The 13,395-nt window shown below is 45.7% G+C and overlaps 1 protein-coding gene across 3 annotated transcripts in view, besides 1 other annotated feature; it reads right to left on the bottom strand.

Annotated features, from left to right (window-relative positions):
• The window catches only part of SHISA6 (shisa family member 6), a 322,851-nt gene that overhangs the window by 280,473 nt on the left and 28,983 nt on the right, over window positions 1–13,395 (bottom strand). The window lies entirely within an intron of this gene.
• Window positions 9,304–9,805: an enhancer, noted in NCBI's record as "H3K4me1 hESC enhancer chr17:11177103-11177604 (GRCh37/hg19 assembly coordinates)". NCBI's record gives its function as "activates a minimal SCP1, AML or CMV promoter by ChIP-STARR-seq in naive H9 embryonic stem cells {active_cell/tissue: H9 hESC(naive)}" and the evidence as "EXISTENCE:reporter gene assay evidence [ECO:0000049][PMID:30033119]".

Genomic DNA, 13,395 nt, shown 5'->3' with positions numbered 1-13,395 from the left:
CTTTAATGTAATTGGCTTATTTTCCTTAATTCAGATTCAAAAGAACAGAAAAATTAGCACGTGCATGCATTTATTCAACATGAGGCTTTAGACCCACTTAATTTTAATTCTGTAGTAGACAAGTGGCTGTGCTTTAATAGAGGCAGGATGGAGAAATAGAAAGAAAATCAGACCTTGAATCAGAAAACTTGAGTTGAAGTTTTGGTTTTAATATCCACTGGTGTGCAATGGTAGACAAATTGCTTAAACCTCCTGAATCTCCTTACAGAATCACCTATTAAATGGAAACAATTACTTCTTCTTCAATAGATTCATATGATGATTAACTGATACATATATACATTTACAAACTATGTACATATATAGTTGCTTTCAAAGAGTGCTATATAAATGCAATTTATTGCATATTTTGTCTAAAAGAGCAGTAAGTATCAGTTAATATTCATGTGGGCACACTTAATAGAGTTGAATCCTGCGAAGTTAAGAGATTATGACTTCACTTATCAAATGAAAAACTTGAAGATTGGGTTGGGACAATATCTAGGTCTGGTGCTCCAAATTCAATGATCTTTACACTTCGCTAGATCAATGAAACTATCCTGGAGCAAATCATATACAAACAGCAGGACTGTTTTTTAATGTAAACCTATTTTGAGCTCTCCACTCTATAAACCTGAATGTGGAATGTGGTTTTGGGGAAAATTGGAGTGAATGATTCCATCTAAATCCCAGTTTGCAGGCTCAAGTCTAAGTGAGGGCTCCTCCTCCCACTTGCTGCTTGGCAGCTGCCCCTCTGGGTTGGGGCTGGACAGATGCTTATTCATTTGTCTCTCCGGGTTACAATGGTGAATATGCAGTGTGATAGCAGATGGAATACCATGTATCTGGATGAAGCTGGAAACCAGCATTCTCAGCAAACTATCACAAGGACAGAAAACCAAATACCGCATGTTCTCACTCATAGGTGGGAATTGAACAATGAGAACACTTGAACACAGGGCTGGGAACACCACACACTGGGGCCTGTCGGCAGGTGGGGGACTGGGGGAGGGATAGCATTAGGAGAAATACCTAATGTAAATGATGAGTTGATGGGTGCAGCAAACCAACATGGCACATGTATACCTATATATCAAACCTGCATGTTGTGCACAGGTACCCCAGAACTTAAAGTATTAAAAAAAAAAAAGAAGAAATACCACGTATCTAGTCCAAATCCTTTGCTCTCTTGCCCCTTCCCTACCTTCTATGGAGAAAGAACTTTCGATCTTGTTGAATCGCCTCTAGAACTCTACTCTGATGTTAAAAATCTGGGCAACAAGTGAATAAGAGAACTATGCAGAGCAAGAGTGTCTGCTGATTTACATAGTAAAGAGAGGTGGTAACACCTGCAGACGCACTTAGGTTAAGTTTGGGGACCTCTTTTGAAAAAGGAGTATTTGGGGAAGCAGCTTCTGTGGCTATGAAAGGCATTGAGAGTGAGGAAGATGAGGAAAGGTTTTGTAAAGATAATTTGGCCTATGCCACAAATGTATCATAGATCCCTTTGGATTTTCTTCCAAGAGACCAAGCAAAGATTGAAATTGCTCTTAAAAGAGAAAAAAAAACTTTTATGCATTTGACCATTGCTTACTTAAATGTCACATCAACGCAAGATAGCCAGCTGAAGTCACTCTTGCTTTGTGTGAGTTATATTTTGAGAATGTTCTAGGATCAGTGATGTTTTCAAGTACTTTTTAGTCATGCTTGGTTGTTCCTGAAAGAAACAGATACCCTGAATAGCTTTACACTTATTTTAAAAATTGAACTTGTAGTTTAAAATCTTCCTACAAAAAATAAACAAAAATTCTAGGCATTGATGCCTTCACTGGTAAAGTTCTATAAAAATTCTTCCACAAAATTGAGAGAAAAAAACATTTTTCGGCATATTTTATGAGGTCAGCATTACTCTGATACCAAACCAAAATGACAAGAAAACAGAACTATGGACCAATATGCTTTATGAACATAGACACAAAAAGTTCTTAACAAAATTTTAGCAAATAAAATATAATAATATATAAAAATGGTAAGATATTATGACCAAGTAAGATTTATCTTTGGAATGCAAGGTTAGTTTAACATTTGAAAACCAATCAATGTAATTTTCCATGTTAACAGGCTAAAAGGAAAAACTGTATCATCATCTCAACAGATACAAAAGATGCACTTGACCCAATCCAATATCCACTCCTCATAAAAACTCTCCACAAACTAGCTATTAATGAAAACTCTTCCTATTTGATAAAGGGCATCTCCAAAATACATAGAACTAACATCACAATGCAAAAGACTGCTTTCCCCCTAAGATTAGAAAATAAGTTGTCACCACTTTGACTGTATGTTATACATGATATATTATATACATCCTTGCTGGAGCAATAAGGCAAGAAAAAGAAAAAAAGGCATCTAAATAATAAGGGAAGAAGTAAAACTAGCTTTACTTGCAGATGGTATAATTGTTTGTAAAAATTCTAAAAATCTATGAAAAAGCTAATAAAACTGATAGGACTATGCAAGTTTGTAGGACAAGGTGTTTATATAAAAAGCAATTGTATTTTTATATACCACCAATAAACAATCAGAAATTGAAATGCTCAGTTCTTTAAGAAGGTGATTATGAATGCGAATGTAAACACCACTATCATGATGTTGTCTCAAGAATTCCCTTTGAACAAATCCTGCCATTCAAGGCCTCCATTTCTATTTCCAGCCCTCTTCTCTAACTTGCTCTCATGCCATTCAACCCATTGAGCACGCTGCTTCAAAAGGGGAGATCTATTCCCTCTCCTATGAGGCCTGATGTTTCTACCCTGATAGTTTTCCTTAAATCAACCCATTCCTATCTTGGTCTATTCCTCCACAGCTTTCTGACCATTCAAGTCTTATTTACCCTTAAAGGTCATAGTCAATATCCAACAGCTCTCAGGCTACCTTCTTGAACATTTGAACCTCTGGCACTAGGCCTGGTATGCAGCAGGCACTCAACAAAGCTCAAGAGAGTGAATGAACTTTCAGCATGCTCCTATTTATGTGGATGTCCATATACAATTCTCATCTGTACTCCTGAATTCATGCTAGTCTACCTGTTGTATTGCAACCTCTCTCGCCAGACGCCTACATGCAGCACCTTATTCTTAAGGATAATAAGTGAACATTTCCATAATCAGTCTTGTACATATTTTAAATCCTTACACAGCTATTATATTTAACTATTTATGCATATACATCTTGTTTACTCAGATGGTAAGTTCTCAGTGGGCAGAGAATCCCATCATTTGTTGCATTTGTTTGCACAGATTAATGACTCTCAATCTACCTGGAGTAAATTTCAATCACAGCCATCGTAGATCCTAAAAGTAGTTTCAAAACAGGACTTGCAAGGTGCTTTAGCAAACCTTTATGTAGCACCAACATAAACAGAAACGCCACCAAGGCTTGTTGATTCAGTGGCTCTTATTTAAGAATGTTTACATAGGAAAACATTTCGCTCCTTCTTAGAAAAAGACAAGGCTCAGAACGCCCAAGCAGCCCTTTTGACTCACTCGAGCCCACAGACCTGAGGGTGCTGGCCAGCCTCAGCTAAACCTTTATTACCCTCAAAGTCACCACAAGCTTCTTTTACAGGAAAATCTAAGGAGCCAGGTGTTTGCCCAGAGCAGCACTGAGAGCGTGAGCCTGCTAATGAAAACTGAAAATGCAGGTCATTTCCTTAGCCTCCTCTCTCTCTCTCCCTCTTTCTCTCTCTCTTTTTGCTCTTTGCTATTCTTGGTGACAGTGACCTTACGGCTATGGATAAAAAATAATAGAAGGGTGGGAGGCAATACCCAACCACGGGAGTTGGGAGAACCTATCTTATAAGCTCTTGTAACCACTGCAGGCACCACCACAAGAAACTGTTTGACCTTGAACAAGTGAGTCAGCCTTCCTAAGACTCTATTACCAAGGTGGTAATAGAAATAATAATATTACTGACCTTACAGGATTCCCATGTAACAGCCTCTTAGGAAGAGGGCTCACATGGACCACAGGGCATTGCAGAGTTTCCGGTCCTGAAAACTATGGAGGAAATGGCCTGAGATCACCTGGATTATTGTGTGACACTGATCCTAGCTCCCTAATAGTAATAATACAAAGGGCTACCATTTTGTGCACATCAAACATGTTCCAGGACTGTCTTTGTTGCTTTATGTTTATTGTCTCGTACCTCTACGAGGGTCTAACAAGTTGATATGAGTATTCTTAAGTAGAGAAAAGCAAGCAGAGACCCAGCAAGGTTAAGCAGTGTCTTTGCTCAAGGTTACATGCCTCACCCTCTCTTTCTACGATGACAGTGCTTCTCTGGTTGCCCTGGAGCTGAAGTTGTGGCCCGAGGAAGACCTGCAAGCCCTGAACTCTCACCCAGGACTCTTGCAAATAATTGCAGGAAGCATGCTTGTAGCTGCACCACAAGGAGTGAAGCCAGCAACCCCAAACTGGCCACTCAGGAGGGCTCCACAGCACTTACAAGACTTTGCTGTTTTAGCTTCTTTCTGTGGAAAACACGAGGCTGCTTCTCTGTGGCTCACTCTTAAATGGCCCCGAAGTGCACCCCAGCCTCTCCAAGGCTTGGCTGGCAGTGTCTCTGCCTGCCTCGGCCACCCAGCTCCACCTTCCTGCCCTGCCCCGCCTCCTCAGAGGCCCCATTTCCTTTAATCTAATTCTTATGGGGAAAGAAACGCCACGTGTATTAAAGTGCAGGCTTATCTATTTCATCACAGATCTAAGCCACGGTGATAAATCCCTAAGCTAAACACACACAAAGGGAAATACGAAGCTTGAATACAGAGCAGAATAAAGAAGCAGGGCAGGGATAAATGTGGCCTTCGCCCAGCTGCTAGCTGGCGGCCCACCCACAGCGGGGTCTTGATCTGGGAGAGGCTGCTCCTGCCTCCTCGCAGGGGTAGGCGGATGGAGCTGAGGCAACGTCCATATCAACATACTTTCTAGATAGCTCTGGCTAAACTTTCACAAATGTTCTAGTTAGGAAAAACTGGCTTTGTTGCATCTTGTAAAACTTCTGAATAATCTAAAGTGATTGCCTTATCTTCACTCAACACATATGGGCGAGGAGACACAGGACAGGAGAGTCCAGAGCTCCTGAGAGTGCAGGTGCAGGGACCCAAAGATGAATAGGACGCAGCCTCTGATTTCAGGAGGCTCAGTTGGGACACAGACTTAGGGACTCTCTGCAGGGATTTCCCCAATGCCTTGGCTTTGTTGTGGGGTAACATTCTGCAGCCTCCATATCAGAACCAAAAGTAGGGAAAAACAGCATCCTTAGAGCTTTCACTAATCTCTCCAGGAGTCTCCCAGTGACCCTCCCCATTCTAAGCACTCACAGTCCATCTAGCGACATAACTGCTCATATTTACAGTGGAAAGCACAGAGGACAGCCACAGCAGCTCACTTCACCTGATATTTTTTAATACCAACGGTTTGTGGTAGAAGCATTACACAGTCCCCTTGTGGGCCACACTGTGACACAAATCATTAATAGCCCCCAATAGCCATTCTTCTCTAGTCAAAGAACTCCCATATTTTAATTGATCACAAGGCCACTGAAAAGAAAAACCACATTAGTTAATGTGATGTAAGTAGGAGTGGTATGACAACTTCAAACAAGTGTTCTTAAAGAAACGAGGTATGATCTTCTTGGTCCTTTCTCCCTCCTGATGTCTGGAACGCAGACATGATGGCATGAGCTCAGGCAGCCATCTTGGGCTATGACATGGAAGGCACGTGCTTAGGAAGCCAGAGCAACCAGATAGAAGGAATCTGGTTGCCTGGACACTGTAGAGCCCATATTCTCCCTGAATCCCTGAACTGACTTCTTTCACAGAAGAGAGAAACTTCTCTTCTGTAGCAGTAACTTTTACTTTAGATAATTCAGTTATTTGTGAGCATACATAATTATAATCGTTGCACTCTGTATAACGTATTAAATAAGGGCATTCATTCTGTCACTTGTTTATTCAAGAAATAGTTATTGAATGCCTACTAAGTGCCAAGATCTGTGCAAAATGCACTGGCACTGTGAATAGAGTGAGCAAAGCAGACATATCCCTGTACTCAAGGCACTTACAGTCCAATGCATCATTATTGATTTGCTTATCATTCTGATGAGATATGCCCATGGCTACACTCAGGTCTAGATCTCTGGGAGAAGAAAGTCTGTATACGTACATGCGGGGTGTGTGTGTGTGTGTGTGTGTGTGTGTGTGTGTGTGTGAGAGAGAGAGAGAGAGAGAGAGAGAGAGAGAGAGAGAGAAAGAGAAACCGGGGATGGGGAGGGAGAGACCAGATTCTTTGACTTCCCTTGTAATTACTCTGGCAACGTCCACTGGAGAACTGAACACCCCAGCTCAGCTCATCTGCCAAAACTCAAACATTTCCAATTTTCCTTTGGGTAAGACCTCTCAGCTATTCATTTCAAGTCCTTGGATTGACCTGGTCATGCTCATCAACTGTTTGGTCTGGCCAAAAGTCCTTGGAATCATCTGTGACTCCTGTCTTCCCCTCGTACCCTCCATACAATCCATTAGCAAATACCTACAAATAAATCCTGAACTCTCCTTTAGATATTAGTATTAAAACAATGACAAATTTCATAAACCTGGTAATTGTATCATAGTTATGTAAGTGAACATCCTTGAACTGAGAAGATACCTATTGAAGTCGTCCTGAATGAAGAGTCATAATATTGGCAACTTGTTCTCACATGGTTCAAAAATGATGATGATGATGATGGTGATGATGGTCGTGGTGATGATGGTGTTGACAGCAGTGGTGATGATGATAATGGTGGTGATGGTGATGATGGTGGTGGTGATGTCAATGGCAGTGGTGATGGTCATGGTGAGGATGATGATGGTATTGGTGATGGTGAGGATGATGATGGTGGTGGTGGTGGTGACAACGATGATGATGATGTTAAGGAAAAGGAGAGGGAGGAAGACAGAGAGATAAAGAGAAGCAAATATGTTACAACGTTAACAACTAGTAAGGGGGTATGGGTGTTCACTGTATCATTCTTGCAAATATTCCATTGGTTTGAAATTGTTCAAAATAACAAGTTAAGAAAAATAAACCCTGAAGAAAGTCTTTCTCACATCTTCCATCACTGACATTCCAGTCCAAGTCCCATCTCCCTCCCATCACCCGGGTGATGCAATAGTTTCCACTTCCTAGGCCACCTCCCCTCCGCCACCTTTGCCCCTCCAGAATCTAGTCTCAGCCAGGTGCAACGGCTCACACCTGTAATCCCAGCATTTTAGGAGGCTGAGACGGGCGGATCACTTGAGGTCAGGAGTTTAAGACCAGCCTGGTCGACATGGTGAAACCCTGTCTCTACTAAAAATACAAAAATTAGCCAGGCATGGTGGCACGAGCCTGTAATTCCAGCTACTTGAGAGGCTTAGGCAGGAGAATTGCTTGAACCCCAGAGGCGGAGGTTGCAGTGAACAGAGATTGCACCACTGCACACTCCAACTTGGGTGACACAGCAAGACTGCATCTCAAAAAAAAAACAAAAACAAAAAACAGAATCTAGTCTCAAGATGGTGGCCAGAGTGATTATGAAAACCACATGTCAGATCATATCTCTACTCGCTATAAGCCCTACAAGAACTCCCATGACATCCAGAATGAAACTCAAGATGTAGTGTGACCCATAAGGCCCCTCATCTCTGACTTCTAGCCCTTAACATGTCTCTATCCTGGCTCTCTCTACTCCAACCACTCTGGTCTCTTCTTCATACCAAGCAGGATTTCACTTCTGCCCTAAACACCCTTTCTCCAGATGGTCACACATGGCTCAGTCATTTGGGTCTCGGCTTCAGTGGTCCTTCCTCAAATCAGGTTCCTTCATTTCACTTCTCATCACTTCCTACTTTCTTTTCCTGCTCTCTTTCTCTTCAAAGCCTTATTGCCTGATTTCAAGTATATGTCCGTGGGTTTATTTTCTGCCTCCTCCAGCTGAATGTAAACACCATGAGACTAGGGACTTTGTTTTGTTCACTGTATTGCTGACGCTTGACATCCAATAAAGGACCAAAATCACTTTTGAATGAACGAAGGAATCAATGAATCTGGAGTCCCATCTTGCCATCCTCCTTCTCTGGCTCTCAAGGTGCTGCTAATGAACTATGCTCCTCACATCTCCTCCTCTGTGGGTTTCTCACTGTAGGCCCCCAAAAGCCTCCTCTCCAAGCCCCTTTGGAGGGTCCAACCTTGCCCCATTCCCACGCCATTAGAACAACTGAGCCATTTGCCACCTCCACAGCAGCGACCCCTACCTGCTCCCACACATCTTCCACCCCACCAGGGACACAGTCCATATGTTTAATGAAAAAAAAAAAAAATTCCTCCTGCTCAGAGCAGCCTTCCACACTAGAACACAGAGTTCCAGTTCCTTCCTGGCTGTTGTCCCAAATCTTTAATCACTCCTGTCTGTTTACAGAAAAGCCACAACCAATCTTTCCAAAGGAATTGATCACTGTGCCCTTCTGCAAACCTTTAGTCCCTTATGCATCGCCGTTTTCCAGGCTCTTGTGGACCCCCGTTTTCCATCCTCCAGGAGTACCCTCCACTCTCCTCCTCGCCCATTCAATCTTACCTGCCCTTCAAGCACTTGGTGATGATCACTCCGACCACACAACCTCCCTCTGAGCGTTCTGAGCATGTGGCCTATAATTCTGGAGGGGCACCTGTAGAGTCAATTATTTTCTTGTATTGTCTCGTCTTTCTGCTCCTGGAGTTAAGCCCCTGAGGCCAGGACTGTGTCTAATCCACCTTTCAGCTCCTGTAGGCCCTAACGAAGTGTTCAGTACACAGTTGGTGTGGCACATCTAGCTACGGATGCCGTCTCCTCCTCCATCTTTGGTTTCCCAAATAGCCTTTACTCTGTAGGCAACGGACATTAAGCCCATGAGGAAAAGACCGCTAAAGGCCACTCAGATGGAGGCTGGGCTCTCCCTCCTGGTGAGAGCTCCACGCTCCACATCCCTGGGGGCCAGGAGCATATGGCTGCTCTCCCTCACTTCCTGCTGCTCAGGGCCGCCCTTGCCCAGCACCCTCTCGCTCCTGTCACTGCACCGCGCTCTGTTGCTTCCTTCGTTTTGCCAACTCATGGAGGTAATTGCGAATTCTAACCCTGTCCTCCGTGCTTTGGCTTTCCCTCTGACCGGCACCTCATTTTGGGAACAGCCCGGCCATATTCTAAATCCTCTGGCTCCCTGGGTGTAGGGGTGAGTGATTAGTGAGCCAGCTCCGTGGTTCTCCTTTCTCCCCCGGCCACGTGGGGAAAGTAGGCTCTCTCTGTCCCCAATTCGGGCTGCCTCCTTGATGGGAGGGGCAGGGGATGGGTCCTTTCTGGCCAAGCCTGTGCAGCCACCAGGCAGGACGAAGCCCTAAGGGTGGGACAAGTTGGGCACAGCTGGTCCCATCATCACAAGGGCAGCTCCTCTGGCTTCTGGAAAGCTTTGCTTCTGGGCACACCTGTCCTTAAGGCAATCCTATGCTGAGAAAAGCCACTTATGTCCCAGGAGAAGAACACAGGTGCTTAGCACTCCCTTCCTGAATGGCATAAAATGATGCGCTTCCTCGCAGGACAAGCCTGGCACTGAGAACAGAATGGTGATTTGGCCATAAGTTTCGCCTGGGCTCTGACCCTGGGTCACAGAATCCCAAGAGAAGTGCAGCCAGTGAGAGAGTGAGTCCTGGACACTGGGCTGCCTAGGTCAGACCACACCCTGACATCGACAAGCCCTGCGCCTGCGGGCAGGCTGCCCATCACTCCATGTCGCTGTAGCCTCCTATCTACTGGGAGGGGGACACTGCCTACACGAGGACTATGATAATGAAGGCTCCTAGCCCAGGGCGTGGACAGTCAGCCCTCAACAAATCCCAGCTACTGTTTCTATTATGACACACGAAAAGTAGGACCTTGGAAGTTGCTAGGCCAGCCTTCCTCTCAAGCTGGAAATGCCCAAGTTGCTCCTCTCCTTTGCTTAAAATCATCACGGAGTGAGCAGCTCGTTGCATGGCAAGGTGGTCCGACCTGGAGCAGAGGGGCTCACATCAGGAGAACGCCTGCCCTTGTGCTGAGCAAGCAGTGGCCTCCTCTGGTGTCCTCCCCACAGCCCTAGATCCATGCACTGGGACAAATGAGAAGTGTAGACACACGGCTTCAGAACAGGATTCACGTAGCTGGAGGGGGCTCCCGGGGCCCTGTCTGTACCTCTGGTCAATTTGACCTCAGGGCTTGAGCTCTAGGGTCTGTGTTTAGCGCCCAGATCAGTCAGCACCCCCTCCTGGCTGTGTGACCTTGGTTAAGCTTCTAATCCCCATTGAACCTGTTTCCTCATCTATGAAGTGGGCATTATAATGGTACCTGCCTCATGGGCTTGTTACAAGAATTAGATAGGTCAGTCCATGGAAAGCATTTTAAAAGTACTGTTAGTTGCTAATATGATTTGAAGAACAGCGTTCTCCAGCTTTCCTGGGAGCCGTATCACTCTCTCTGGCAGGCCAGGGGCACGAGTGTCTACAACAAGACACAGGAACTCAGGCATCACACTCCAGCCATGAAAACAGCTGGCATGCCACCACCTTGGATCTGGATTCCAGGTTGTTTCAAAGCAGTCTAAAGACATAGCTGTTTCCAGACATCTCAACTTGCTCTGTTCTTTCATCCTAAACCTTCGTGACTCTGCCATATGACCTACTGTTCCCCGTGGGACTTACTGGGACTTCTGACCCAAATATGGGGTTCACATCATTGCTAGTCACTTTGTGAGTACTTACTGGACAGCTTGAGTATGCCAGGCTCTGAGCCAGGGATTAGAGATTGTCAGGTGAGCTATGCTGATACCAGACACACCTTAGAGAAACCAGACAGCCCAGAGGTGGTTAAGTCAATCTTCACAACACAAGTAGGAGAGTTTATACCCAGTTTACAGATCAGGAAACTGAAGCACGGAAGGTTAAGTAAAGTGATCAAGCCCTACTTCCAGCTAGTGAAGGCAGAGCGGGGTTCCAAACTGGGGCCAACAGTCCTAGTCAGCCCGCTCCACTGCCTCTCTGCAAGGACGGAGGAGCCCAGGATGCCACCAAGGACCAGTGGAGAAAGGCCCCCGGGCAGGGAGCCAGGGAAGTGAGAGCCACGCGGGAGCCTGGGAGATAAGGAAGAGCAGGCTAGGCTGAGGGAAAGTGAACGAAAAGAGAACATTCCAGACCAAGCAAAGAGCAGAGCATGGCTGGGGAGCTATAGAAGACAGAGAGTGAGTCCCCATAAGGACCCAAATGTGTTTGAGTAGGCAGAGCTTTGGTGTCCATGGAAGGAGTGGCAGGGTTTCTGATGGCAGAGCCAAAAAAGAAGCTGTTCCCAGAACCCCCCAAAACTGTGGGAAGGAGGGTGCCTGGTAGTGGAGCGGAGGAGATGGGCTGAGGAGGAGGTAAGGGGAGCTGAAGGAGAGGCAGCAGGTGTAGATAAGTGTTTTGCAAAGTTTGGCTGTCGGGGAGAGAAGAGACAGGAAGAGTGTGAAAAGGAGGGTGGGCTCATCCTACGTGAGGGTGAAGAGGCTGAACATATCCCCAGGCTGGAGGAGCAGAGCTGCTAGAGAAGGGCGCAGGAGGGGAAGGGTGGAAGTCCAGAGAGCAAGATTCTGTGGACCAGGAACAGATGGGGTCCCAGGCACAGAAGGAAAGGTGAGCTTTGGCCAGCAGAGGGGGTCTTGTTAAATGGAAAATGGGGCTGGGCGTGGTGGCTCACGCCTGTAATCCCAGCACTTTGGGAGGCTGAAGCAGGCAGATCACCTGAGGTCAGGAGTTAGAAACCAGCCTGGCCAACATGGTGAAACCCCGTCTCTGCTAAAAATACAAAAAAAAAAAAAAAAAAAAAAAAAAAAAAGCCAGGCGTGGTGGTGTGCACCTGTAATTCCAGCTACTTGGGAGGCTGAGGCAGGAGAACCGCTTGAACCTGGGAGGCAGAGATAGCAGTTAGCTGAGATCACGCCACTGCACTCCAGCCTGGGTGACAAGAGTGAAACTCCATCTCGAAATAAAAAATAAATAAATAAAATGGAACTTGGTGTATCTGCGCCATGCAAGACATGTTGAATCCCGAGTTTGTCATCATCTGAGGGGTGCTGACCATCCCTCCCAGTGATGTGTCACTTATAAATTTAATAACCATGCTTTCAACCTCATCACCTAAGTGATAGAAAAAAGCCACTGAGAAGGTCATGGCTGAGGAGAACCAAGGCCTGCCCAGGTCCCTCCCTTCCTGCACCCCTCCCCTCTGTACCCTTCTCCACCAGCTCTCTTTCTCCAGCATGGGCATGTTTTCATATTTCCCCCCACCCTTCACCCCTCACATAGGATGAGCACACCCTGTTTCACACCCTTCCCGCCTCTTCTCTCCCTGACAGCCGAGCTTTGCAAAGAACAGTTGTCTACACCTGCTGCCTCTCCATTTGCACCCTAGAGACCCTGGGCCCTGCTGCAACATGATTCATTCATCAGGCCTCATGAACCCTGGTTCAACCAGCTATAAAATCAGAATCAAGCAATACCTTGGCTACAGCCTCAGGGAAGGAAAGAGGGGAATGGGACCTGACATTGGCAGGGCACCTCCTGGGCTCACAGCTCTGTGTTTGCCATCCATTCCCCTATGGGATCCCAGAGAAGGACGTGTCTCTAGTCACATTCCACGTGGAAGGAAATACCGCATGGAAGATGGCTGGGACTTTCAGAGAGGGGCTGACAAACTAGAGCCCACAGGCCAAACCCTGCCCGTTACCTGCTACTGTAAATGACATTTTATGGAAACATATGTCCAAATTTTATGAAAACACGCATCCATTCATTTACTTATCATCTATGGCTGCTCTTGTGCTTCAAGGGCAGAACTGGGTAGTTGCCACAGAGATCTTATGGCCTGCAGAGCCTAAAATATTGACGATCTGGCCCTTTCTGGAAAACGTTTGCCAACTCCTATTTAAGAGCCCTGGACTAAGGTCCAGGCTGTCCAAACCAAGGGGCAATTTGGTCTTTGGTTTGTCTTACTGTGAAACCTACAAGCTCTTTCTACATCACCTTGGCCCCTCTATAGGAGGGTGTCTTCCTGTGGAAAGAGAAGTCAGGGAAAGTCATAGAAAGTTCTCTCATTAACCTGTGCTGTCCACTACTTGGCAATCAGAAAACAGAAATCAGATCATCACACTTAAATACACTCCTCACCGAGCACGGCGGCTCACGCCTGTAATCCCAGCACTTTGGGAGGCGAAGGCGAGCAGCTCACGAGCTCAGGAGTTT

Source organism: Homo sapiens, chromosome 17 (genome assembly GCF_000001405.40).
Source record: "Homo sapiens chromosome 17, GRCh38.p14 Primary Assembly".
Taxonomy (NCBI): Eukaryota; Metazoa; Chordata; class Mammalia; order Primates; family Hominidae; genus Homo; species Homo sapiens.
The sequence above is the reverse complement of the archived record's forward strand: the minus strand, read 5'-3'. Positions and strand labels throughout refer to the sequence as shown.